Consider the following 25308-nt stretch of genomic DNA (forward strand, 5'->3'; position numbering starts at 1 on the left):
CTGTAATGGAATACTACTCAACAGTTAAAAAAAAAAAAAAAAAAAAGCAAACCACTGATACCTGCAGCAAATGGATAAATTTCGCAGATGTTAGGCTTGGTGAAAGCCAGACACAAAAGATTCTATTTAATTTCATTTTTGTAAAAATCTAGAACACACAAAAGAAACCTACAGTGATAGAAAGCAGATCATTTGCTTGGAGTGAGGGTTGGGGAGGAGATTTAACTGTAAAGGGACACAAGGGAACTTTATGGAGAGACAGAAGTGTTCTGTGTCTTGATTATAGTAGTGGCTACACAAGCGTATACTTTTGCCAAAACTCGCCAATCTGTGCACTTAAAATGGTGAATTTTATTGTATGTAAATCATACCTCAATAAAGTTAATTTTAAAAAGAAAAGAAATGTCTCTTAAAAGGGAACAATGAAGGAGTAAGGGATATTCAATAATTTTAAAATGGGGTCAAGCAGCCCTACAGTTGATTGCAGAAGGTTACTGTCACCCTCTAGGCATCCATTCTCTGGAACTCCCAGAGAAATACAAATGAGCAGCCCGTAACTGCATTTGTTCTTTGTCCAAGCCAGCTGAGGGATCTGGTCTGAAAACTAGTTCTGCAGAAGCAAAGCTGCTTCACCTGATTGAAGGTTCCCACTCACCATGAGTGAGGCTGGTGACCTTTCTCCCACTTTTTGTGCGCTGTCTCTGATGATAGTCCCTCTGTTTTCTGGAACCTTGCCAATTCCAAGTGTAGCCCCAAAGTCATTTTGGGTGTACCACCTGGTGAAAATGTAAGCAGCACATCAGACCTCACTGCAGCCTTGAAAGATTATCCCCAGTGGGCTATCTCCAGTTTACAAACCAACTGGACTTCAAGGTAAGAGACAGTGAAGAAGCTATTTGACTCTTAGAACACATTTCCTGATTAAAATACTATTATGAATGGTAAAAACAAACAAAAAAATATAGGCTGATCTCTAAAAGGCCACTAGAGTTCTAGGACATCACAGCCCTCATGTAACCTCAAGACCACCTGGATCCTTTGTTCCTATTCCCACTTCAAGATCGTGTCTCTTCATACTGGACATAGGAATCAACCTTACTTGCAGACCTTTAAGGATAAGTTGTCTTTCCTATGACACATTTTTAAACCTTGCAATCATTTCTGCTTATAGCTGTCTATCTAGAGTCATATGTAATCTAGCAGACATTTCTAGGCATTGCGACAGACCCACTAGGGATTGTAGCACATGCATTAGAGTGTGGCCAAGCCAGGTAAGGTGTGACTCAAAGAGCCTGCACTAAGAGCAAGACAGTCCTGGACTGTGGCTCAGCTCTGCTACATTCCAGCTGTGAAGTTTTAGGCAAATTACTTAATCCATTTGTATGTTTCCTCATCTGTAAGATAACTATGATCATAATACCTAGTTTAAAAGGTTATCATGTGGGTTTAATGAGGTAGCGGAGGAGTTCCATTTACTAATGCTGAGCAATAAAACCACCCCAAAAATTAGCATCTTAAAATAATGACACCATTCATTTTGTTTGAAAGTGTGCAATCTGGAAAATACTTAGTGGGGACAGCTTGTCTCGGCTTCCGTTGGCATCAGCTGGGCTGAAATCACCTGAAGATTTGCCCACTCACATGTCTGGCAGTTGCTGCTGGGAAGATTCACATAGCTGGAGGCTTGGACAGCTGGGACTCCTAAGCATCTCTCTCCATCTCGTGTGGTCTCTCAAGCATGGCAGCTTCAGGGTAGCCAGATTTATTACAAGTTATCTTTCATGACCTGGGCTTGGAACTCATGGAATAACTTCTGCATAGTCTCAAAAACCTGGCCATATGAAAGAGGAGGGAATGCAGACACCACTTCTCAGTAAATAGCAACATCACATTGTAAGAACCTATGGGATGAGATATTTTGGTACAGTCATGTTTGGAAAATATAACCTGGCATAGTAGAAAACTGCTTAACACCTGGAAAAAGTAGGACCAAATAAATGATATGTATTTGACCATTCCTATCACCACCCCCCCACCTCACTATCACTTCTATAATTAGCATTATTAGTGCTATTGCCAGTAAACCTGATGCACCTTTCAATACTGATGATGTGATGCTTGCCCTTCCTGCTGTGGGGAGATGAGGGTCACAGACCCAAGGATACTTCCAGGAAATGCTGTAACAGAAACTTTGCTGCAGGCCCAAAAGTTCCGCAACATAATTCGCTGTGCATGAAGATGATATCATTGTTATGAGCAAAGATGCCTGCAAATACACAAGCTGAAAATAAAAAGGAAACTGGTTGTGGGTGGGGTGAAAAAGGCTTTTGTAGAAAGATGAGTTTGTTCTGAACCTGCAGCCTCCTCCACAGTGATGATGTCCCATGGAGCCCCTTCTTTCCAGCCCTCCACTCCTACTCCCCCAGGGAAACAAATGTGGCCAGAGCTACCAAATCCTTTAATTCACAATGTGTCATACCCACACCATGGTGCAGGGGCTTCTTTGGACTCATGTCCCTCTCTATGACCCTACTGAAGACCAAGGGCAAATTTTGGGCTTTATCAGCTGTAACGCATTCATTTGGTAGGAGCCCAAAATAAAATAAAGGCTATAAATACGAAGTGCAAAATCATGGAGTTAGTGTAGAATCTTTTCCTAATAGGAAAGGAGCTCTGCAGCCACCTCTAATCCTCCCCTAGCTTATGGTGCTCTCAGGAAGCAGCTCTATTTAGAGGCTGATCCGCTTGTCACAAGCTGGCTCCTGAGCTCTTGCTGCTTCTCTCTTGCACTCTCTCTGAACCTGGGTTGTCCATCTGCCCCACATCCTGCTGGTGCTAGCACAATACAGGAAATAATAAACACACCTTTTGAGGTCACGCTTTACAAATGCAAATTATTTTCATTGAGGGCACACAGTTTAGATCCAATTTGTTCTTGGCTCTCTTTAGATTAAAAAGGTGCAGAGGGCAGGGGACCCAGCCGGGCCAGAGGGTGTTGTTTCCAGAAAAAGCAGCATCTAAAGGAGCCAAGCAGAATGGGATGGAGATGTGCTGTAGGCCACCTAACTACTTTTATGTCAAACTTACTACATGCGTGGACCATTTCTGTGTGGCCTTCCCTGCCCTGCCTTTTCTCCAATACTATTGTGATGAACAACTTGGTCTTCTCCTCTAACTGAATTGGTTAGTGATCCCTCTGTACTCCCTTAGGGAAGTACCTCTTACACTTTGGTCAGATCCGAATCACCTGGACACATAGCTTGCTGAGCCTTTCCCCAGTGTTTCTAATTCAGTCCATCTGGAACAGGGACCCAACAGTCTGTAGTTCCAACAAATTCCCAGGTGATACCGATGCTGGTTGTTCACTCTTAGAATAGTTTTTCTGGCAGTACATATACCTTTATGATGGTATTTCTTATGTTCTGCTTTTCATTATTTTTTTTTTTTTGAGACAGGATCTTGCTCTGTCATCCAAGCTGAAGTGCAGTAGCGTGATCACAGTTCACCGCAGCCTCCTGGGCTCAAGCGATCCTCCCACCTCAGCCACCTGAGTAACTGGGACGACAGGTGCGCACCACCACACCCAGCTAATTTTTTGCATTTTTTTAGAGACAGGGTTTTGCTATGTTGCCCAAGCTGGTTTTGAACTTGTGGGCTCAAGCAATCTGCCTACCTTGGCCTCCCAAAGTGCTGGGGTTATAAGCATAAGCAACTGCTCCCGGCCTGTTATTATTTTTATAGCAAAGACTTAGGTCAGTACTGTCCAATAGAAATATACAAGCCACATATATAATTTTAATTTGTATAGCAACCACATGAATTAAAGTGGAAAATTAATAATTAGCCCAATATATCAAAAATAATTCAACATGTAATCAATACAAAAATTAATGGAATATTCTACCTTGTTTCATACTAAGTCTTTGAAACTGCATATATATTAATATTTTATACTTAACGGTACACAACTACATTTAGAGTGCTTAATAGCCAAATGTGGCTAGTGTCTACCATATTGGGCAAGGCAGACTTAAATAATGCTTACTGTGTACCAGACAGTGGTACAGACTCCTTACATGTTAACTCCTTTAGTCTTCACAATAATCCAATGAGGTGGCTACTGTTATAATTCTCATTTTACTTGTGAGGAAACAGGCACAAAGAGCTTAAATAACTTGTCCCAGGCCACTGAGCTAGAAATTGGGAGAGAGAAGTTTGAACCTTGGCAGTCTGGCCTCAGGGTCAGCCACTTTACCACAAGCCTTTCCTGCTCAACTACAACTCCCTGAACAGTAGGAAGGAAACATTATTTCTTTGTGTGTCCCATAGCATAGGCAATGCTTAGCTCAGACAGGACAGCCAGTAAGTGTGTGCTGGATGAATTAAATGAGTGAGAAGAAGGTGAAGCACTGACAAGGGATTTGTCAAACATGTTCTTCCAACAGGATTAAGTGCCTCCAACCATCACTGTATATGACTGAGAGGAAATATTTTAAAATTAAATTTGAAATCGCCTAGTCATAATGAGCTTCCAGGATAATGGAAGGATGTGAGAAAATACATAATGACAAGAATAAAAGGCTTATATACCATCTATTAGAGTGGCAGTCATGATTAGAGTGACCAGAACCTGGAAGGAGTACATGAAGGAAGCCTACCTGAAAGGGGTAAATCCTTAAAGGGATGTTAAATTGGATGAAAGGAATACTGTGGAGAAAGACATGGGAAAGGATTGACAAGAAGGAAGAATTGTCTCCCTCATCATGAACATTAATTGAAATATCATCTGTGGCAGACCTGGTTCCCAGGAAGCAGATTAGGACCTGGAAATCTGCATACAGGAGGTTTTCCAGAAGTACTGCCAGAATCAACACCTTCAGGAAAGTAAGAGAAGCCGGATCAGGCAGGGGGGGAAGTTGGGCTGCAACACAGTCACGCCAAGTCCTTACCCAACCCTACGGAGAACTCCAGAGCTGGGATGGCTCTTCATAGTCTTCCCAAATTGAAGCAAGGCAGCTCTTTTAAGGCAGCTCCATTCCTTTTACAGGAACCAGTCATTGGATACTGGTTTCCCAGGAAAGGCGTGTAACCTTGAGCAAGGCAGCTTTCTTAATCTGAGGGCAATAGCTGAAGAGAAGTTCAGCTGTGTGCTATTATCTGGCATCCCTCCTAGCAGCTCCGGAATGAGAACCTCATTGTTGTGGGTTGGGGAAGGAATCTGGGTAGTGGACTACAGCATCCACTACATCAACCCGATGCAAAATCTAAAAGAACCAAAAAGAGGACATCATGATAAATGGAAAGAGCTAGACAGAATCCCAACCCTGCCAGCTTATATGGGAAATAGATGCAAGGCCATAAAGCTAGTGAGTAGATTTATACCTAGTTTTCTGTAATTCTGGCATTTATTTTCTCTCCATAACTCCTCAGGAAAGAGAAAAGGGAGGGCACAGGAAATACACATAGGGTGGTATTTATATTTATGCGTACCTGGGTTTGTTAAGAGCTATGGTTGGGGTGAGGGAGGATCAGCTAAGCAAATCTCAGAGGCAAGGAGCCACTTTCTCTTACTCCCGCTCTCTAGGACATAGGGGCAGCTACCCTTCTGTTACTGAGGAAGGTGTTTCTACAAGAGACAACATCCCCAAGTTGGGTTGTGGTGCTCTGTCTCCCCACTTCCAAGCTTAGCCTGGAGATAAGAGCCTTTCAGGGGATGCACTTAAGCTTTCATCTTGGTCTTATTTTCTTGGGCTCAACTCAGAGTCAGGGTTTGAACTATATCCCCGGCTGGAATGGGGGCCAGACCAAAATGGAACAGCCCTAGAGAGCCTGCCTCTCCAGGGTCATCTGTTTGTCATCTCCAAGGTCTGGTGAAGCTAGGAGCCCTTTAATCAGGTGATGAGCTCACCAGGAGCAGAAGTAATCAGGAATAACTACTAAAGAAGTTTGCAGCTGGCAGAGTCTGCAGCTGAGAATAGAAAGAGGGAGACAGAGAAGTGGGGGAGTATGAAAAAAACAGTAATAGACTTAGTTGTGCATCTTGGCTCCACCTTGAATGTGTGACCTTGGATAAATCTTTTAACCTCTCTGAACTTTAGTTTTAGGGAATGAAACACACCTTACAAAAGCTGCTTAAGTATCAAATCAGTTTTTGGGAGTAAAGTTATTTGCAGATGTGGTAGGTGCTTAATAAATGTGTGTTCCTCTTCTGAGCATAACACAGGGTAAAGTGTTTATGCCTATGGATAAACTTTACAAAATTTGCCAGAATTTTCCCTACCAGTATGCATCTTATTGCCCATGGTGGGGAATGAGATAGTAGCAGCTGAGATCCATGGCTAAGATCAGGATACTAGTTTATCTGGGATACACAAAGCCACACTCAGCCCTCAATAAATGTTTGTTGAATATGTACATGAGGACATGAACAAATGGTGGAGTGGTGATAAGAGAACTCAGCTTTCCCTTCTTCCAGGAAGCCTTCCCAGGTTCCTCCAGCTTTCTTGGGTTCCGTGACAAGCTTCTACATGTGCAATATGCTCCACCCAATGTGCTTCTGAATTATAGGCCATCTTCCATTGTTCTCTCCTTGTTCTTTGTATGTTGAGCTTGTCTCCTTGGCTTGACATGGACAAATGGTGTTATTAGTTTTTCTACCAGAAAGCCACAGTGAATCATTCAGGTATGCAGATCCACAGATTTGTAGCCCAAAAGAGAATAATTAAAAGGTGGAGGGTGAGTACCCTTATAATCACATAGGACATGGGTTAAGATTTGTCCTTTTCTACCTCATAGGGTTTTGTGAAGATTAAGATGATACAGGGAAATTGATTAGTACAGTGTTGTCATGCTGGACCCTTGTTGACTTCAGTAGTGATGGTACCATGTTCAACAGGCTGAAAAAGAGACCTGCAGCCAGCAAATGAGACATCAGGTTTATTGAGGGGACTCACATACAGAGGAGTCCAGTGGTGATGAGCTGGATAGAACTGCATCTGCTGGTAAAAAGCATGCAGTTGATATAGCATTTTCACTTAGCGCCCTCCCCCTAACAACCTCCACCTGTCAACTTTCATTTAACCCAAAACAAAGGGCTTCAGTCCCCTGTACAGCCTGCATTCCATGAAATGGGCCAGAGGTTTAGATGTTTCCCATAAGTAAGGAATGAATCTCCAGATCGGCCACTTCCAGATTTCTTAGCTTGGAATTCCAAGCACACATTCTTCTTAGACCATAGTGTCATTCTCAGGATAGGCTTAAGGTAAGCCATTGCTGTCAGGTGCAGCCATACAAGTGCCTAGCACATAGTAGACACTCAATAAATAGAAATTTAACATTAATGATGGTATCAGTATTGATATTGGGGAGGGTGGTAGATAGTGGAGGAGGGAAAAGGAGAAGAAAGCTTTTTAATTCCCAAGCACGCACAGCCTGGAGGGCTGAGTTTCAGAATTCAGTTGCAAAATTCAGCTTATGCCCAAAACTCAAATTACACCTTGGGGTATGGCATCCTGCCTTGAAATGGGAAATTAGGCAGTCTCACAAGGATGCACAGCTGTGTTGCCTGAGCTGTTTCGTTCCAGGCAAACTGGAGCCGGCAGTGAACCTTTGGCAACTGAGGAGAGCAGGGCCAGACAGCTTTGCAGCCATCCAACAGAACCAAGTGAGAATACCAAGCAGCTTTGCACAGTGCTCCAGGAGAAGCCACAGGGTCTCAGGAGCAGGCAGGCTGTGTGCCAGAGGGAGCAGACCCCCTCCTTAGACATCAGCCCTTCCTCAGGTAGGCCTGCCCATCCCCTCTTCCTGGACACTTGGCCACTGTCTCTGCTAACCACTAGCCGCTGCCTCTTCTCCTTCCTCCTCAACAAGTTCTTTTGTGAGGGGAGAGAAAGTGCTGAGAGATGTCAGCATGCCTGGGAGGATGTCAGGTCAAAAGCCCCAATGTTCTTTTTAGGTAAGTGATTCTCAGGCATGATCAGGCCAGGACATTGTGTCTTTTTCCTTTTCTGGCTTTGGAGAATTTGAAGCTAAGGGTACACAGATGCTGGTGTGCTCAAGTCAGGTACTTTAGGCAGGTCCCAGGACTCTCCAAGAGGTTCCCTAGGAGTCCCAAAGGTCCTGTTATGCTCTCTGACGAGTGCACTGGACCAGACCCCAAGCCATGGGCTGCAAGCTCTGGGGATTCAGTGCACTGGGTTTATAGGAGCCACCACTGCAGGCCTGTCCCTTGCATCTCTAGGGTGTGCCTAGGTCCTTCATGAGGCTGTTCTATTAGCTGCCCCCCTAACAAAAACTCCTATTTGTCCTATTTCCTGCTGCTGTCATCACAGCCTTCCAAAAGCATAAACCTTGAACCAGAAAGCAAAAGCTGAGACTTGTCTCTGTAAAATCCAAATCTTGGCAGACACTCTCACACCATCCTTTAGAACTCTGGAGAGAAATGCAGGCCAGTTTGCCTAGGTAATTAGGAATGGAGCTTACCATGGCGGGAGCAATTGTGGAATGAGAGGGTCTCTGCAGCAGATCAACAGGAGTTAGGTTCCAGCTCAGCTTTCTCCTGCCTCACTCTGGCCTGTGGGATGTGTGTGCATTTGATGCAGTTAATGTTAATCACAGAAGCAAGCAAAGTAAAAAGATAAATACATGCACTCACACACACACACACACCCTGAATTGGCATGTCACAGGACTGATGTTGTTTACTGCTTGCTTTCATTGACATTGTCTCCAAAGAAATAAACATCTATGATTTTGTGGTAAGCATTCAGCTGCAAATAACTCAAATGTGTGGAATTATTCTTTCATTCTCACATGGTTTCAAAAGTATTATTGTGCTCTTATGATGTATCAGATAGTGAACTAAGCTCTGAGGCTCCAGATGGCTCCGTTCAAGAACTCACAGCCCCATGGGAGGGTATAAGTTTAGTTTAGAAACTAAAATAAGAGTTATCACCTATTTAATGTGAGGCACTGTGTGGGGCTTTCCAAGCATCTTAATCGCATATTCCTACCCTAAAAGCACTCTGCACATAGGCATTATTTTCCTTCTCATACAGCTGAGAAAAACGAAGCTTAACTAATTTGCCTGAAGTCTACAACTAGAAAATTACAAAGCCAAGATTGAACGCAAATCCCACTGACCCCAAGCCCATGGCCCTCCCACTATGCCCTCTACCGAAGGTCTCTGCGGGGAAGAGTCACAATAGGAACAGGAACAGAGTGTCTGGGAGCACTGGGCAGGGAGCCACCATTTCTACCTGGGGAGTTGAGGGACCTTGACCTTGCCAAGACAAAGAGACAGTCAAGTTGGGTTTTGGAGATGAATACATCATCACCGAGCAGGAAGGGAGTATGGGCAGAAATTGTGAACGAGACTGGACGTATCCGTGTCCAGCATCGTATGTGGCTTCCACATTTAAGCAACAGGGTAATCTAGCCCCGTGGTACTGACAAATAAGCTTTGATTTTCATTCAGCCTGCTTGGTCAAGAAAGTAGTGGCTGTTTATATTACATGGGTGGTGTTTACCCTGACTCCGCAGTTGGAATTTGAACAGGTTAAAAACTGTATGTTCAGGTTGTTGTCTCTCTGACCATTTCACCTAACTCCATACTTTGAATTAGAATGTTTAAAAAGAATCAGGAAATATAGACAGATAAAGCAAGTCTTAGAATTTTCCCTCCTCTCTCTAAGTGGACTCCAAAGCACATCAGTAGGTAAATTTGATTAGAATCTATCAACTAGGCTAAAAGAGATCCAAGGATCCAGAAGCTGGCATTAAGGCAGGGAGCATCTCAGCAACCATACCCTTACTTTGCCACCTGCATGCCCGCATCTGTGGGTACATGATCTCACACCAGGGTGCTGGGAAAGATGCCTACAAGCCTCCCTTCAGTTATGTCCCCTTCTAGAGCCCACCCCACGGGGTAGCCTTCACATTGCATTGTCCCTGCTGTCTGCCATCCATGCACCATTTTAAAAATATATTTTTAAAATTTAGAAGTTTTAACTATACAGAAAAGTTGCAACAGTAGTGCAGAGTTCCTAGATGCCTTGTTTCTACTTTCCTCTGTGATTAGCATCTTATATTACTGTAGTGCATTTGTCACAGTTAGTAATATGGATACATTATTATTAACTGAAGTAGCACTTTGTTCAGACTCCCTTTTTTTTTTTTTTTTTGCCTAATGTCCTTTTTCTCTTCCAGGATGTCATCTGGGATACCACATTACATTTAGTCTTCATGTCCCCTTACACTCCCCTTGGCTGTGACAGCTGCTCAGACCTTCTTTGCTTCTGACCCTTTGCAGTTTTGAGTACTGGTCAGCTATTTTATAGACTATCCCTCAATTGGGATTTGTCTGATGTTTTTCTTATAACTATACTGGGATTATAGGTTTGGGAGGGGAAAACTACAGAGATAAAGCACCTCTTTCATATCAAGGGTACATATTGTCATCATGACATTATCACTGTGGATGCTGGCCTTGACCACCTGGCTGAGGTCGTGTCTCTCTGGTTCTCTACTGTAAAGCAGGGAACAGTTTTTATGAGCTTCTTCCTTTTAGTTTGGGAGGGTACAAGGCAGTCTGGACTGATGCATTTGTGTTCTTTCCCATGATGTCAGAGAGATGTTCCATGAATATTAATGATCTTTTTATTTTATCAGAGGCTGAGTTGACCTTTTCATCCATCTAATTTGACTCTCATTTTTGTTTATGTGAGGCAAGTCTTTGAGAGAACACTTTTCGTATGTGAGTTTATGCTCCTGTCACCGCAAATTGTATTTCCTTCTATACTATTAGCTCCTTAAAGGAAATGGCTATGTCCTCAATATGCAGACACCATATAACAGCCTCCAGCTTTATTCCGTCTGTTTCCCCAGCCCATAGTGTGTGTGTGTGTGTGTGTGTGTGTGTGTGTGTGTGTGTGTGTGTGTGTGCCAGGAAGCTTCATGGCCCTCCTAGTATGCATTTGTTCCTTATTTCCCTGAGGGAACCTGTGGCTGTTGATCAGAGAAATCATGATGCTGTAGAAAGAGCCTGGCATTGAGATGTTTCCCTTCTCTGAGTCTGGTCAGGAAAGGAGGACAGTAAGGAAACCCAAGTTAAAATCAGCCCGTTGAGCTCCAGCACTTAAAAGCCCTTGATGTCTCAATCCAGAGTGGTCACTGAAAGAGCTTTGATTTCACTTCTACATGGATGGTATTCCAGTTACTGCTGCTGCCTAACAAACCACTGCAAAACATAGTGGCTTAGATCAATAACAATCATTCATTTTGCTCATAAGTCTGTAGCTGGGGAGGAGTCACTTGTCTCTGCTCTCCCCAGACTCAGCTGCATGGGCTGAGTCTAAGTCAGCTTGATGGGCTGGAAGGTCCACTTTCAAGATAGCTCATTCACATGGCCAACAGGGTTGTATTGCTATCATCTGGAAGTTAGGCTGAGGCTGAAGGCCGTGAACCTCAGTTCCTTTCCACATGGGCCCCTCTCTGGGCTGCTCAGACTTCCTCGCAGCATGGCAGCTGGCTCCCAAGAGTAAGCACCACAAGAAAACCAAGAAGTAGCCATACCACCTTTTATGATCTGACCTTAGAAGTCAGGTAGCATCACTGCAGCCAGTCACAAACCCACAAAAAAAAAAAAAAAAAAAAAAAAAACCCACCCAGATTTAAAGGAAGGAACATAGACCTTACCTGTCAACAGGAGAGCCAAAGTCACATTTAGGAAGAGTAAGCACATTGGAATGTACTGTGGTGGTCATTTTTGGAAAACACCAGCTGCCACAGATGGCTAGTAAGTGATTTAGGAGGGTTTCTTATTCTTCAGCGAATATGTCTTGTAGCCTAGGTGCTAGACTAGATATGGGCATATAACATGGAATCAGACATGGTCCCAGCCCTGGCAGCTTCCACTTCAGACAGGGAAACAGACAAGACACTGGCCATTTCCATTCAGAGAGGTGAGAGCTGGAGTAGAGATAAGCTTATAGGTTATAAGCACACAAGGAGGGATTCCTAACAACAGTTTCAAGGCCCAGGAAGAATTCTCAGATGAGTTCTAGGTGAGAAATGTTTGTACCAAGTTGAATCAAATGACTAAGGCAAAAAAGCTAAAGCTGAAGATTAAAGGCAGCATAGTTGCCCCCAAGTGTTGCTGCATTTGGGGAAAGATTTGTTTTTTTGTCATGGTCATCACAGCTGTTACTATTATTATCTTCATCAAGCATTCCTCTACTCATGTAGGACATTTTCCTGGATCAAAAATTTCTCAGTTTCCAGGATTTCTTGGGCAGTCAGGATCAGAGAAACCTGGGTTTAAATCCTGGTACTGCTACATGGTGGTCATTTTGACCTCAGACAAATGACTTTAACCATATGTGAATGTGGAGATGATGGGGGACTTGAGCTGAAAATTTGTCATTCTTCCCTGTTTCTTACCCCTGGGAAAAGGCCTATGCTTACTCTGTGTGGGTGTGTGTTCACGTGTGTTTGTTCATATGTTTTTTAGGAGACCATGGTCTGTCAGCCCCCTAGAGCTTCAGCACAAGGTGAATTCATGTTGGCTGAAGGCCATAGGTGTGTCTGGGGCACACAAGCCCTGTCTCACATGACTTTCTTGCTGGAATGTATTCAAGAGATTGTACTCTGGGAAGCAGTTTCCCAAAGTACAAGTCATGGACCTCATCAGTCTAGCTGTTGAACCAGTAATCTCAGAGATGTCTGTAATCTACCAAACAATGGTCCCAGTTAGCTCTAAGCAGAACTTTCTGTCCTTCAGCCTTGTTATCTGAGGCATGTTCCCAGCAGGATTTTATAGTAGGGAACATTTTAAATGTGGCAACCTGTAGTGAGGGAAGCAGAAAAGATTTGCACTCAAAACTCCTTGGTTTCATAAAGAAGTGAAGTCACAGGCATGGATTGCCTCTTAAGATCAATCACCCAGCTCACCCTGAAGTCAGTGATACATATTTATTTTTGGTTAAGGGAAACCATGCTCCAAGGAATTAGAAGTTTATATTTGATCTTTAATAAAAGGAATCATTGGAGTTCAGAGATGGACCATACTAGAACACTGGAACCACAGTGAGTAGAAAAAGAACACTGGCCAGGCACAGTGGCTCACGCCTGTAATCCCAAAATTCTGAGAGGCCAAGGCAGGCAGATTGCTTGAACCCAGGAGGTGGAGACCAGCAACATGGCAAGACCCCATTTCAAAAATTAGCTGGGCACAGTGGCGTGTGCCTGTAGTCCCAGCTACTCGGGAGGCTGAGGTGGGAGGATCACTTGAGCCCAGGAAGTCAAGGCTGCAGTGAGCTGTGATCACGCCACTGCACTCTAGCCTGGGTCACAGAGTGAGACCTTGTCTCAAAAAAAAAAAAAAAAAGAAATTTAGATAGATAGATGATAGATAGATAGATAGATAGATAGATAGATAGATAGATAGATAGATAGATAGATAGATACAGTATGAGTTTGGCACCTTAATGGGATTGGCAGGCAATGAGTTGGCCTGAGTCCCTCCCTGTCCCTAACCCTGTGTGTAGCTGTGTGGCCAAGGTAAATCATTTCACTTTGTTGGGCCTCAGCTTTCTCATCTGTAAAGTGGAGGAGCTGATACCAGAGTCCCAACATCCCTTCCAATTAAAGAACAATAATCTTGAAATTAGAAAAGCCCATTTCCTGGCAAGGTTGTGTGCTGTTGCTCATGCAGAAAACAAACTCCCTGATGGTCAGACTTAGTGTGCTTAGATGCTCTTTTCTTTTGTTGTTGAAACATCAATTGCAGAAGCTAAATTCCCAAGTGTTCCAGTTACCTATTGATAATAGAAACCAAAACAGTGGCTTAAAGCAGTAACAATCATTTATTTTGTTCAAAAATCTTAGGGTTGACCAGGCTCAGCTAGGCAGCTCTCATCTGGGATCTCTTGGGTGATTGCAGTCCAGCAGTGGCCAGGGTCATCTTGCAGGCTCTTCACTTTCATGTCCGGTGCCTGGCTGGGGCTGGGACAGCTGGGTCTCCTCAGGCGTTCCTGTTACTCTCTGCAAGGTCTCTTTATGTGGCCACCTTGAGGGAACTGGAGTTCTTACGGGGGGCCAAAGCCCCCAAGAGAAACCTGTAAAAGCTGCATGAGCTTTTTGGCTGTAGCCTCAGAAGGGATGTAGGGTGTCACTTCTGCCTCATTGTATTCATCAAGGCAGTAACAAAGGCCTACCTAGGTTCAAAGGGAGGGGAAACAGACTCTACCTCTTGGTGGGAAGAATGTCAGAGAACTTGTAGACACAATTTAAAATCACACCAAGAGTCCAGGATGGTTCAGAAGACTTCTCAGACTGCTATGATTCGCTGTTAAAAGGGTTTAAAACAGCAATGCACAAAATATCTTGCAGTAGAAAACCTAGTTTAATGGGGAAGGAAGATCTACTTAGAAGAAACTTAAAATTATGAAAAAAAGATAAAATTCTATTTTTATGAATTTTCTGTGTAACAAATATGCCTTGTGTGTATATAAGCAATTTTAAGAGAAAGTGTGTATGTATATGTGTGTATATATAATTTTTGTTATATATATATATATATATATACACACACACACATATATAATTTTGTGGTTTTTATATACATAATTTTTATTCTACCAAACAATGGAGTGTATGAGATGTTAGGATTGGGGAAGAGGAGAGAATTAAATCAGGGGCTTCCAGTCCTTTTATTGTACTACTACAAGCTCCCCCGGTTACTTGCAAAATGAATTTAATTTACTGGGTTGTTAAAAGAACACCAAATATGTCATACAGAGCCCTGGAATAGAGATAGAAAAAAAACAAGACAGAAGAAAAGTCAAGAGACCAACAATAGAGAATCAGTTCTCCAAAGATGTGAATCATTGCTTTTGAATGGCAGAGCCCCCTGGGGAGATGGGTAGAGCAGAACAATAAATGAAAGTAGTCGAGAGCATAGACTCTGCAGCCAAGCTGCCTAGGAACAAATTGCAGCTTGCCATTCCCCAGCTATATGACCATGGGCAAGTTCCTGTACCTCTCTGTGCTTCTTTTCCTCAATTGCAACAGGGAGCTAATAATACTACCTGCTTCATGAGGTTGCTGTGAGAATTAAATATGTCAGTACAGGCTTAGCCCTTTGAGCAGTGTATAGTACATATTAGCCATTTCTCTTTTCATCAATTCCCTTGTTGCCTTTGCCAGATGCAAATGTCATGCCCAATATGGACTGCAGGCAGCCAACCAAATAAACAGAAGGAGGAGGACCTTTCCTTCCCTTGGGTCCTGAGCTCATGTATGCATTGGAATTTTCAGTAGGAGGAGACCTTCTTGTGATGTCTGGACACCCATCAATATGTAGATTCCACCCCACAACAATTGTCCATATTCAGACACGTTTTAAAAATCGGTTCCACATTTCAAGCATGTGAAGCTAGGTTTTAGCTTTAGTCTCTACTACATATTTGGAATTAAAGCCTCTAGAGTCCATTATGCAAATCCATGCAAATAATATGCAAAGAGGCAGTAGCCTCAGATTGTGGGGAGGGGGAGTGTGTAGTCCAGCACAAAGGGCCTTGAATGAAAATTTGCATGTGTTAGGGAAGCCCTGGGTTGAAGGCCTCAGATGTTTATTGTGACAGTGTGCATAGCATTCAGTTGTTAACCTTTTGTGCCAAAGAAGAGAGGTAAATGCTTGTCTGATTTCCATATTGAAGGTGACAGTAGAGGTTGGAGGTGGTATTTGGCTAGCACAACATTGTAGGGATTTTTATTATACAAATGAAAAGTTGCTTTGAAATAATGGCTGTGGTCCAGGCTGTGTCCCCAACCAGCAATGTGTTCTTGGACAAGTCACTTCCCTCCTTCTGTTGCCCACTCTGTGAAATGAGGGGATTGGATTAGGTGAAATGCCAGATCCCCTCTCACTGTAACATGTAAACATCATCCTCCAGGTAAAAATCCCTTGGCACCCACGGTGGCAGTATCCGTTCATTGTGCCAAAGATGATGTACTCTAAAGTCCAAAGAAGAAAGGGCTAAGAGGTAACTCTACAGTTCTAGAGAGAACAATAACTTCAGGGGATGCTGATAGCTGAGTGGGGGAAATAGGCAGCAGCAACAAAGACAAACATATTTACTTAGGCTGTGTATCTTACAGCACCAAGGATTCCAGTCAAAGGCTTCCCAGCTAGGAGGATGTTAGTTCCTGGAATGCCAGTGATGGGAAAGTCAGGGGAATTTTTTTCCCTGAGTGTTTTAAAGATCAGTCTGTATTAACCCCTCTCTCTGCCTCTGGAGTGCCGCAAAAGTTCTCCTAGAGGCCATGGTGGCTCCTCTCCCACCTGAGGGCCTGTCCCTGGGGTCAGCCAATGTTGCTTCCAAAAGACTGCTGTGTCCTTGGTCTCCGGTCTTTTATTGTATCTGACACATCTGGTGCCTGGCCCCAGAGATTCCCCGGGCCCTTAATTTTAACTCCAGCTGTTGCAGCAAACACCAGCTGGGTGCAGGCAGAACCTGACAGCCCTATGGCCCAGAACTTCTCTGATCCAGCTAATGGAGACCTGGCGTCAGTCAGGAAGTGCAGTGATGAGCATCCCAGGAGCAGCCCTTGATCAGTGAATATGGGAGCCTCTGGGTGAGTGTTCTTTTCAGGCAGACAATTTGAGGTGCAGCCTACTCAGCTCCACTGACGTCCCCTGTGAGTTTGAGGTGCCCACCTGGACCAGCTCATAACCTGCCCTCAGATTGGTTTTCCCTGTTTCACTAATCTCAGACCCCCACGGCTGACCCCACAGATCATTTTCCAGTATAAACTTCCTGCACAAAAGCCCTGTCTCTGTCTCTCCTTTTTCAGAGGATCTCTTAACATAAGGCATGTGTATTAGTTTGCTAGGGCTTCCATAACACAATACCACAGACAGAAATGTACTTCCTCACATTTGAGGAGGATGGAAGTCTAAATTCAAGGCGCCAATAGGGTTGGAGTCCCCCGAGTCCTCTCTCCTTGGCTTGCAGATGGCGTCCTCTAGCTGCCGTGTCCTCACATGATCATCCCTCTGTGCACACGTGCTCCAGATGTCTGTGTGTCCTAATCTCCTCTTCTTAAGAAGGACACCAGTCAGATCGAATTAGGGCCCACTCTTTTGGCCTCATTTTACTTTAATTACCTCTTTGAAAGCCCTATCTCCAAATATAGTCACATTCTAAGGTACTGGGAATTAGGGATTCAACATAGGGATTTTGGGGGTGCATAAGTCAGTCCTTAACAACACTTAACACTTGTGAGCTAAACAGACACTTGAAAGGGAATGTCCATCAAAACATGGAGGTCACCACCACTAGCCCTAGGAATAGATTGTCTCTCTGGTGTTAAGCTGTGGGCAGGATAGGGGCACCAGAATAACCCTGAGCAGGTCAGAGCATAACAGCACATTAATTCTTCTGGGATGCAACATACTGTCCTCTTCTTCCTCCTTCTGCATCATTGATAGTGGTTGACCAGGATAAGCATGCACTTTAAAGACAACCCTTGTTTCACATACTTCTGCTACTGTGTGACTTTCCACATGTTGCCTAATCTCCCCAAACCTCAATTTCATGCTCCACCAAGTGGTCATATGGATTAAAGCATGAAAGCCTGGGCCAGGGCAAGTGTTCAGTAAACAGGTTTTAGGATTGACTCGAATACACAGAATGTGCTGTCGGTGTGTGGTCTAGATCAGGGGTCCCCAACCACTGGGTCACAGACCAGTACCAGTCTGTGGCCTGTTAGGAACCAGGCTGCACCACAAGAGGTGGGAGGCCGGTGAGCCAGCATCACCACCGGAGCATCACCGCCAGAGCGTTACTGCCAGAGCTCTGCCTCCTGTCAGGTCAGCGGCACCATTAGATTCTCATAGGAGCACAAACCCTATTGTGAACTGCACATGCAAGGGATGGATCTGGTTGCGTGCTCCTGATGAGAATTGAATGCCTGCTGATCTGAGGTGGAAGAGTTTCATCCCAAAACCATACCCCCCCCGACCAACTCCAGTCCATGGAAAAACTGTCTTCCACAAAACCAAGTGGAAGACAATTTGTCCCTGGTGCCAAAAAGGTTGGGGACCGCTAGTCTAGATCATGAATGAAAGTTTAGAAAAAAATAGATTGTTTAGGGCAAATTTTTGGTCCTAGAGTTGGTGGGTGCTACAGCCTCAGTGCAATCTAAAGTCCCCCGCAGCCTCCCACTCCCCACCAATTTAGAAGTGCAGGGTGAGGACACAGGCCCATGCCCAGGCTCCACCACACACCAAACGGTGATCCTGGGCCTTGTGTCAAAGGCATGCCTGGAGATCTCCTCCCCATCTCTGCTTCTCGCCAGGGCCCTGCCTTCTCCATCAGACACCTGGGAATCACAGCTGGGGCCCCTGCTTTGGCCGTTTGTCCTGCTGGAATCTGATGGAGGAAAGACGCTCTGAGAGAGTAATTAGACGCAGACAGAGATCTCTCTCCATAGTCAGAGGAGCCTAGCAGGGGCTGAAGGAACTGCCTGAGGATGACAAAGAAGGGGATCCATGAACAAGGAGGTGCTAACAGGTCAGAATCAGGCCTCAGAGGACTGTTGGCCCTTCCTCAGCCGTAGAGACAGGCTCTTCCCAACCCATGTGTTGTCAACGGCTCCTACATGTCATGCTTGCATGAGGTACCATTTTTAAAAATAGGCACATGCTATTGTGATTGATAAAATCCACACATAACTAGAAATGTTTTTAAACATATACGTTTTTGTCCTTGTGCATTTTCTTGAACTGCAAGTATGCACATTGGCTATCATACAAAATCCTTTTTTTTTTTTTTTTTTTAATGTTCAAAAGGGCTCCTTCTACTCAAAAAGGCTGGATATCACCAATGACAATTTTTCAGAGTTCAGCCACATGAATGCCATAGGAAAAGCAGTTAATAACAACCATGACACCAGCCGGCATTTGTAGAAGGCACCTTCTGTTCCAGGCTGTGCTAAGTGCTTTTATGGGCTCCAGGTCTGGTTGCTCTTCTCTAGACCCCGGTCCTCTTCTGCCTGTCACTCTTCTATGGCACTGAGACATCTTTGTCTTATTTTAGGATTGTTTGTGGATATGTGCGAGCTTATCCAGGGCCAGAGACTGCCCTGTTCGTTTTTGTGTCCTCCAGGGTCAGGGAGAGGGTTGAACCTCCATAATTGTTTGGCGAATGGTCCTGAAGGGACAGAGGTCTGTTTGCTTGTACCTTTGTGTAGTTTATAAATGGAAGATTCAGAAAAGGGCATAAGAGTTGGTACATACTGCCACCCAGGCCTTCCTCATTTGGCTTGGGGTGGCTCACACAGAGTTCACACAGGCTTCCCCACAGGCAAGCTGTCCTTGACCACTCCTGGCTGCAGAGGAAGAGGCAGATGTGGAGGCCACAAGCCTTCTACACCTCCAGCCCCAGCCTGTTCTGAAAAGTTGCCCTTGTGGGGAGGGCTGATGGCGTTTCTGAGGCATGTGGGAAAGGAGGAGCCTGGCCAGGGTAGCTGCTCTGCTTCCCCTGGTGCTGGTCTCTCTTTCCAGCAGGTACCAGGCAGCACCTACCTAATAGACCTGCCCCAGCTCCACAGACAGTTCTGGTTCAGTGTAGGAGCACTAGTGTGGGCTCAGGAATGCTCCTGACGTTTCCTGAGTTCCCAGCACTGTCCTAGGCCACAGGTAAGAAAGGCCCAGGCTGTATGCTGCTCCCCAAGTATTTTACCTCTTCTCTCTGTCTCCTTTTCAAGGTTTCCTGCTGATCTTGGCACTGACCGAAGCGCTGGCATTTGCCATCCAGGAACCATCTCCCAGGGAATCTCTTCAGGTCCTCCCTTCAGGCACTCCCCCGGGAACCATGGTGACAGCACCCCACAGCTCTACCAGACATACTTCTGTGGTGATGCTGACCCCCAATCCCGATGGACCCCCCTCACAGGCTGCAGCTCCCATGGCAACACCGACACCCCGTGCAGAGGGGCACCCTCCTACGCACACCATCTCCACCATCGCTGCGACAGTAACCGCCCCCCATTCTGAAAGCTCCCTGTCCACAGGGCCCGCTCCAGCAGCCATGGCAACCACATCCTCCAAGCCAGAGGGCCGCCCTCGAGGGCAGGCTGCCCCCACCATCCTGCTGACAAAGCCACCGGGGGCCACCAGCCGCCCCACCACAGCGCCCCCCCGCACTACCACACGCAGGCCCCCCAGGCCCCCAGGCTCTTCCCGAAAAGGGGCTGGTAATTCATCACGCCCTGTCCCGCCTGCACCTGGTGGCCACTCCAGGAGTAAAGAAGGACAGCGAGGACGAAATCCAAGCTCCACACCTCTGGGGCAGAAGCGGCCCCTGGGGAAAATCTTTCAGATCTACAAGGGCAACTTCACAGGGTCTGTGGAACCGGAGCCCTCTACCCTCACCCCCAGGACCCCACTCTGGGGCTACTCCTCTTCACCACAGCCCCAGACAGTGGCTGCGACCACAGTGCCCAGCAATACCTCATGGGCACCCACCACCACCTCCCTGGGGCCTGCAAAGGACAAGCCAGGCCTTCGCAGAGCAGCCCAGGGGGGTGGTTCTACCTTCACCAGCCAAGGAGGGACACCAGATGCCACAGCAGCCTCAGGTGCCCCTGTCAGTCCACAAGCTGCCCCAGTGCCTTCTCAGCGCCCCCACCACGGTGACCCACAGGATGGCCCCAGCCATAGTGACTCTTGGCTTACTGTTACCCCTGGCACCAGCAGACCTCTGTCTACCAGCTCTGGGGTCTTCACGGCTGCCACGGGGCCCACCCCAGCTGCCTTCGATACCAGTGTCTCAGCCCCTTCCCAGGGGATTCCTCAGGGAGCATCCACAACCCCACAAGCTCCAACCCATCCCTCCAGGGTCTCAGAAAGCACTATTTCTGGAGCCAAGGAGGAGACTGTGGCCACCCTCACCATGACCGACCGGGTGCCCAGTCCTCTCTCCACAGTGGTATCCACAGCCACAGGCAATTTCCTCAACCGCCTGGTCCCCGCCGGGACCTGGAAGCCTGGGACAGCAGGGAACATCTCCCATGTGGCCGAGGGGGACAAACCGCAGCACAGAGCCACCATCTGCCTGAGCAAGATGGATATCGCCTGGGTGATCCTGGCCATCAGCGTGCCCATCTCCTCCTGCTGTAAGTGCCGCCCTCTCCCACCCATCCTCTCCCTCTACCACATCACTGGCTCAACCCCAGCATTCCTTTGTCCCTGATTTGGCATCCTTGCCAAGTGGGCTACAAAAATTCCCAGAATCTCAGGAAACTAGGTATCAGGACAGGTTATCCCTGACCCTAGTCCTCAGCTCTGCCTGGCCATGGCTTGAATGCCTGCTGATCATAAAGTCACAACTCCCAGGAGCTGGGGGAGGACCTTACAGGCAGTCTAATCCAACCCTGCATTTTGCAGAAAAAAAATGCCAAGCTAGCAGTGACATGGTTCACCCAGGATCCCAGAATTAGTGAGAGGCAGGGCTGGGCTGAGAGCTTGTAGCAGCTGTCTTCCAGCCCAGTGCCCTTGTCATGACACCACTCTGCCTCAAGGTAGCCTGCCAATGCCTCTAGCAACCTGGCACCAAGACACCGTAGGTCAATGTCGATGCTTCAAAATTTACAGCCTCCAACTAGCAAACCCCTCACCTTCCTCTTTATCTTCCATCCTCTTTCTTGTGTTTTCTCTCCTCCTGCCCCTCTTCTCTCCTTCTGTCTCTCTTCTCCTAAGAAAGAAAAAGAGATAAAGCTTTCATCTGGTGGGAAGTTCTATAGCTTTGGCAAAAACCTAGTTCTTGCAGCTAAATTAAGGCTTGAGAGTTACGTAAACTCTAGCAACTCTCCACCCCCACCCCACTTTATTTGTTCGTAGGTGATGTGAGCTGATTGCATTGTGGACCTTGTCCTTAGTTTTTGCCCTCCCAAGGCCACCAGCTTCTCCTTGCTGCTGCCTGGCACTCTGTGAATGAGGAGTCAGGAGGCATTCTCTCTGTATTCTCCATAAAGAATCTGGTACAACCTCTCAGAACTTTAGGGATTTCATTATGTCTTCCCTCATGTACTTGAGCTTTGATTCTTATGATTCTTAGAGTTTCTCTGATAGCCTTGCAGGAATCCTCAGCCACACCCCACCCCAAATGGTTACCATCTGCCACTCCCTTACCCCTTCCAGGGATGGCCACACTGCCCCACCCTCATATCCCCGCTCCTTGGACAGCCCATTCTCCTCTGACCCTCCAGGTTGTTGTCCAGCTCTCCTGGGGGCCTAAAGTTTGCCTTCTTGTGATTCCCACTCTATGGCCCTAAGCTGTGCCATCTGAAGCCATACAACTCTAGTTTGTCTAGCAACGTCTGAAACATTTGAAACAGCTCTGAAAGGCAGCCTTCTCTTCATCCAAGCTGCTCAGCCCCGGCCCTTCAAGTCTTCTTTGTAGGGCTGCATTGCCTGGGCCTGTCTCCCATCTGCCCCCTCTGGGGTAGCTTCTGCTTTGTCTCCCAAAAGGAAGCACAGCATTCCACCTGTGTCTGGCTACGGAAGAGGGAGCCGATGGTGGACTCTTTCTTTAGTAGCACTCAGGCAGCCAGCACTGGCATCAGCTCTGCTGGTTGTATTGGCTTCAGGTCATACATAGGCTTGCCCTGATCTCAAGAGGAACAAAGCCCCGAAGGCTTCCCTCAGGGAAGGCTGCTGAGCCAGGTCTCCCAGCTTTTCCTCCTGCTCTGGGTTGTTAGTGCAGGAGGTTTATGCCTTTAATGCGAACCATGATTTCCACTTGGCCTTGTGTTGCAAGATCTTTTTATATCCGGAGTCTAGATTCTTTTCAGGAGCCGCCTCTCATAGCTTTCGGTCTCCTTCAGGTTGATGAGCAAAGTAAACTTTCCATGTCAGGGCTGGGCAAACTGCTTCTGCTGAAGGACCCAATTCAAGAAAAGTAAAAGTGTTTGCAAGTTGCATATTTCATTCTTAATGAAAACAGCTTTATTGTCTCTCATGAAAACACACATTTACACATTTATTCTTAAAACTGCAGTTGCCCACTTCTAAAACAGAAGAATGATCATGAGAAAATGTAGCCCTATTAGCCAATGAATTCTTAATAATGGTTGGTCATATCTGAGAAGTAACTACAGTAGAGACAGCTTTCTAATTTTCCAATCTTTACATGTGTCTAGGATGCTCTCGTTTACAAAGTGCATTCCGTTATTTTTTTATCATTCCATCTTAGACCAGCCAGAGACATAAAAGCAGGAACAAGCAAACACACTGCTAAACACACAGGTGCCACAGTGACTCCAGCTGTCCTCCACACCTTACAGGTAGGGAGTGAGTCACCAGGTGAAGTGATTGACCCAAGGTCCTGACCACACAGTGAGTCAGCCTAGATCTGGTAATACAAAATCTGTTTGATTCAGTGCAGGATTTCCTGTGTGCCCATTGTGTGCCAGACACTGTGCCGAGCATTAGGGAATCTGAGATATGGGCCTCCCTCTTTGAGCTGGATAGCCTGCACCCCACAGGCTACACCCACCTGGATTTTGCAATTCTAAAAGAACTCCTACTTCTCCCCCAGCCCTTCTGTTATGTATAAGCTTGAAATTAGATCAGATCTTATTGCAAAGCTGGAAAGCCCATGGGCTGCCTAAACCATGCATAAAAATGTCAGCCAAGACAGGAGGAAGGACACAGCCTGGGACTGTCCCTTGAGGATTCTTCTGGCACCCTGAAAGGAGCCTTCAGGTGCTGGAGATGGAACATATTACTTTCTAAAGAAAGACACAAACTTTTAATAAAAGTGGACTCTGGTAGCCCCTTGGGAACCGCACACCCCACTCCCTTTGATGTCTGTCTTGCGTTTCCACTATACACAAGGAGGCTCTTGCCTTGGCCCTGACTGCCTCCACATCAGCTCCATGTCCTCAGTCATGGCCCCAACTCCTGCGGGACCATCGTTAACCCTGTGAAGGCTCCAGTGAGAGGGCCATTAAGGTGGAAGAATATTTGTCCAGCTTCAGAACCCTGTGCTCTCAGGAACTATCCTCATCTATTTGGACTGTTTTCATAGCCCAGCACCACTCTAGTTATCAGGAAAGCAGACCTCTTCCACGTCTAAGGGCCCCTTGTTTTGGACCTTCTCAGTGGCTTCATTTATCTTAAAGCTACTCTACAGACCTCAAAGAAGGGTTTCATCCTTTGCCAGTTTGCCAGATATTTCAGGCACTCTGAGTCAGGAGTAAAGTGCATGCATCAGTTTCCTCTCATCTGGCATTTCATACCAGCACTGGCCCCTACCTTGCTTCTCTGAAGCCACCAGAGTCAGAATTCAGATGGGCGGGGTGCTGGGCAGCGGTGATCCTCTGCTCCTGGTAGAAGTGGGAGTTGAGTAAGGCAGATCCCAGGCCTGTGCAAGGAGGGAGGGTGTCCGTTCACCTGCCCTCCCAGATTGCAAGCCACAACCAGTGCCTGGAGGCATATATGTGTCCCGGGGCTGAGAAATGCTTTTCTCTCCTGAGCCCTGCCAGACACTCTAAGCCACGCACGTTTTCAGAAGTGCTGAGAACTGAAATTGATTGGATTCAGGCCATAATGGGCTAGGGCAGAGGAGCCAGGTGGCTCCCAAGCTGGTCTCTGCTGCCACCATCAGGACGCACAGAGCCCACCACTCTTGCCAGAAGCCTCCACGCCTGGCGCTGAATTGGTCGGCGCTCACCATTGTCAGCGGTCTGAGTTTTCATGAGCGTGTCAGTTTTGTGGCTCTGTCAGGGTCCTTTGCCTGTTTGTCACATGTGATGTCCATTTTTGAAAATGCCTTCACCCATCCTCCCTGCAAGAAGATGGGGCTGTTTGGAGGGTGAGATTAGAAAAATAGACTAGCTGCAGATGTTTGTCATCACCAACTCAAGTTCACCCTGGCCAAAGTGGAGTAGCCCCTCTCTCTCTGACACTAGACACTTGAGGGCACCCTCTGCACCTGGTCCCCAGAGCAGTCTGGCCTCCTTCTAGACAGTGGAGCATTAGTGCAGCATTCAAAGAGGTCACATACCATTGTGCTGATGGTTGCTCAGTGAATATTAGACCTGAATGTATATGTGTGCCTTTTCACTCACAGGCCCTGAATGAGTTTATAATTATTATATAAGAAAACCCGGGTGAGAATGACTCTTGCCAATGAAAAGAGTAGAAGAGATTGGGATCAGAAGGCATTATGGCTGGGAAACATGTCTCCTTGGAGCTTACGGATCAAACAGGGATGGGAGAGCCTCAAGGCAATGCAGGGA

The 25308-nt window shown here is 46.2% G+C and overlaps 1 protein-coding gene and 1 long non-coding RNA gene across 5 annotated transcripts in view; one reads left to right on the top strand and one right to left on the bottom strand.

Annotated features, from left to right (window-relative positions):
* Window positions 1-21812, bottom strand: part of LOC101927432 (uncharacterized) — a 48388-nt gene extending 26576 nt beyond the window's left edge. Inside the window, exons 1-4 of one of the 2 annotated variants that reach the window (NR_189053.1) lie at window positions 8482-11631; window positions 4950-5264; window positions 1642-1831; window positions 656-776 (exon numbers count right to left, since the gene is read on the bottom strand). This is a non-coding gene — a long non-coding RNA (uncharacterized LOC101927432). Of the gene's footprint in view, window positions 1-633; window positions 777-1641; window positions 1832-4949; window positions 5265-8481; window positions 11632-21681 lie in introns of those variants that run through there. The other variant, NR_189054.1, reaches the window with a different exon arrangement.
* Window positions 1-25308, top strand: part of TMEM108 (transmembrane protein 108) — a 359385-nt gene that overhangs the window by 321591 nt on the left and 12486 nt on the right. For 2 of the 3 annotated variants that reach the window (NM_023943.4, NM_001136469.3), the window contains exon 4: window positions 19771-21180. The exons of the other annotated variant lie outside the window; for it this stretch is intronic. In NM_023943.4, coding sequence (NP_076432.1) covers window positions 19771-21180 — 1410 coding nt within the window. The remainder of the gene's footprint in view (window positions 1-19770; window positions 21181-25308) is intronic. 3 annotated transcript variants of the gene reach the window in all.

This window comes from Homo sapiens, chromosome 3 (assembly GCF_000001405.40).
Source record: "Homo sapiens chromosome 3, GRCh38.p14 Primary Assembly".
NCBI lineage: Eukaryota > Metazoa > Chordata > Mammalia > Primates > Hominidae > Homo > Homo sapiens.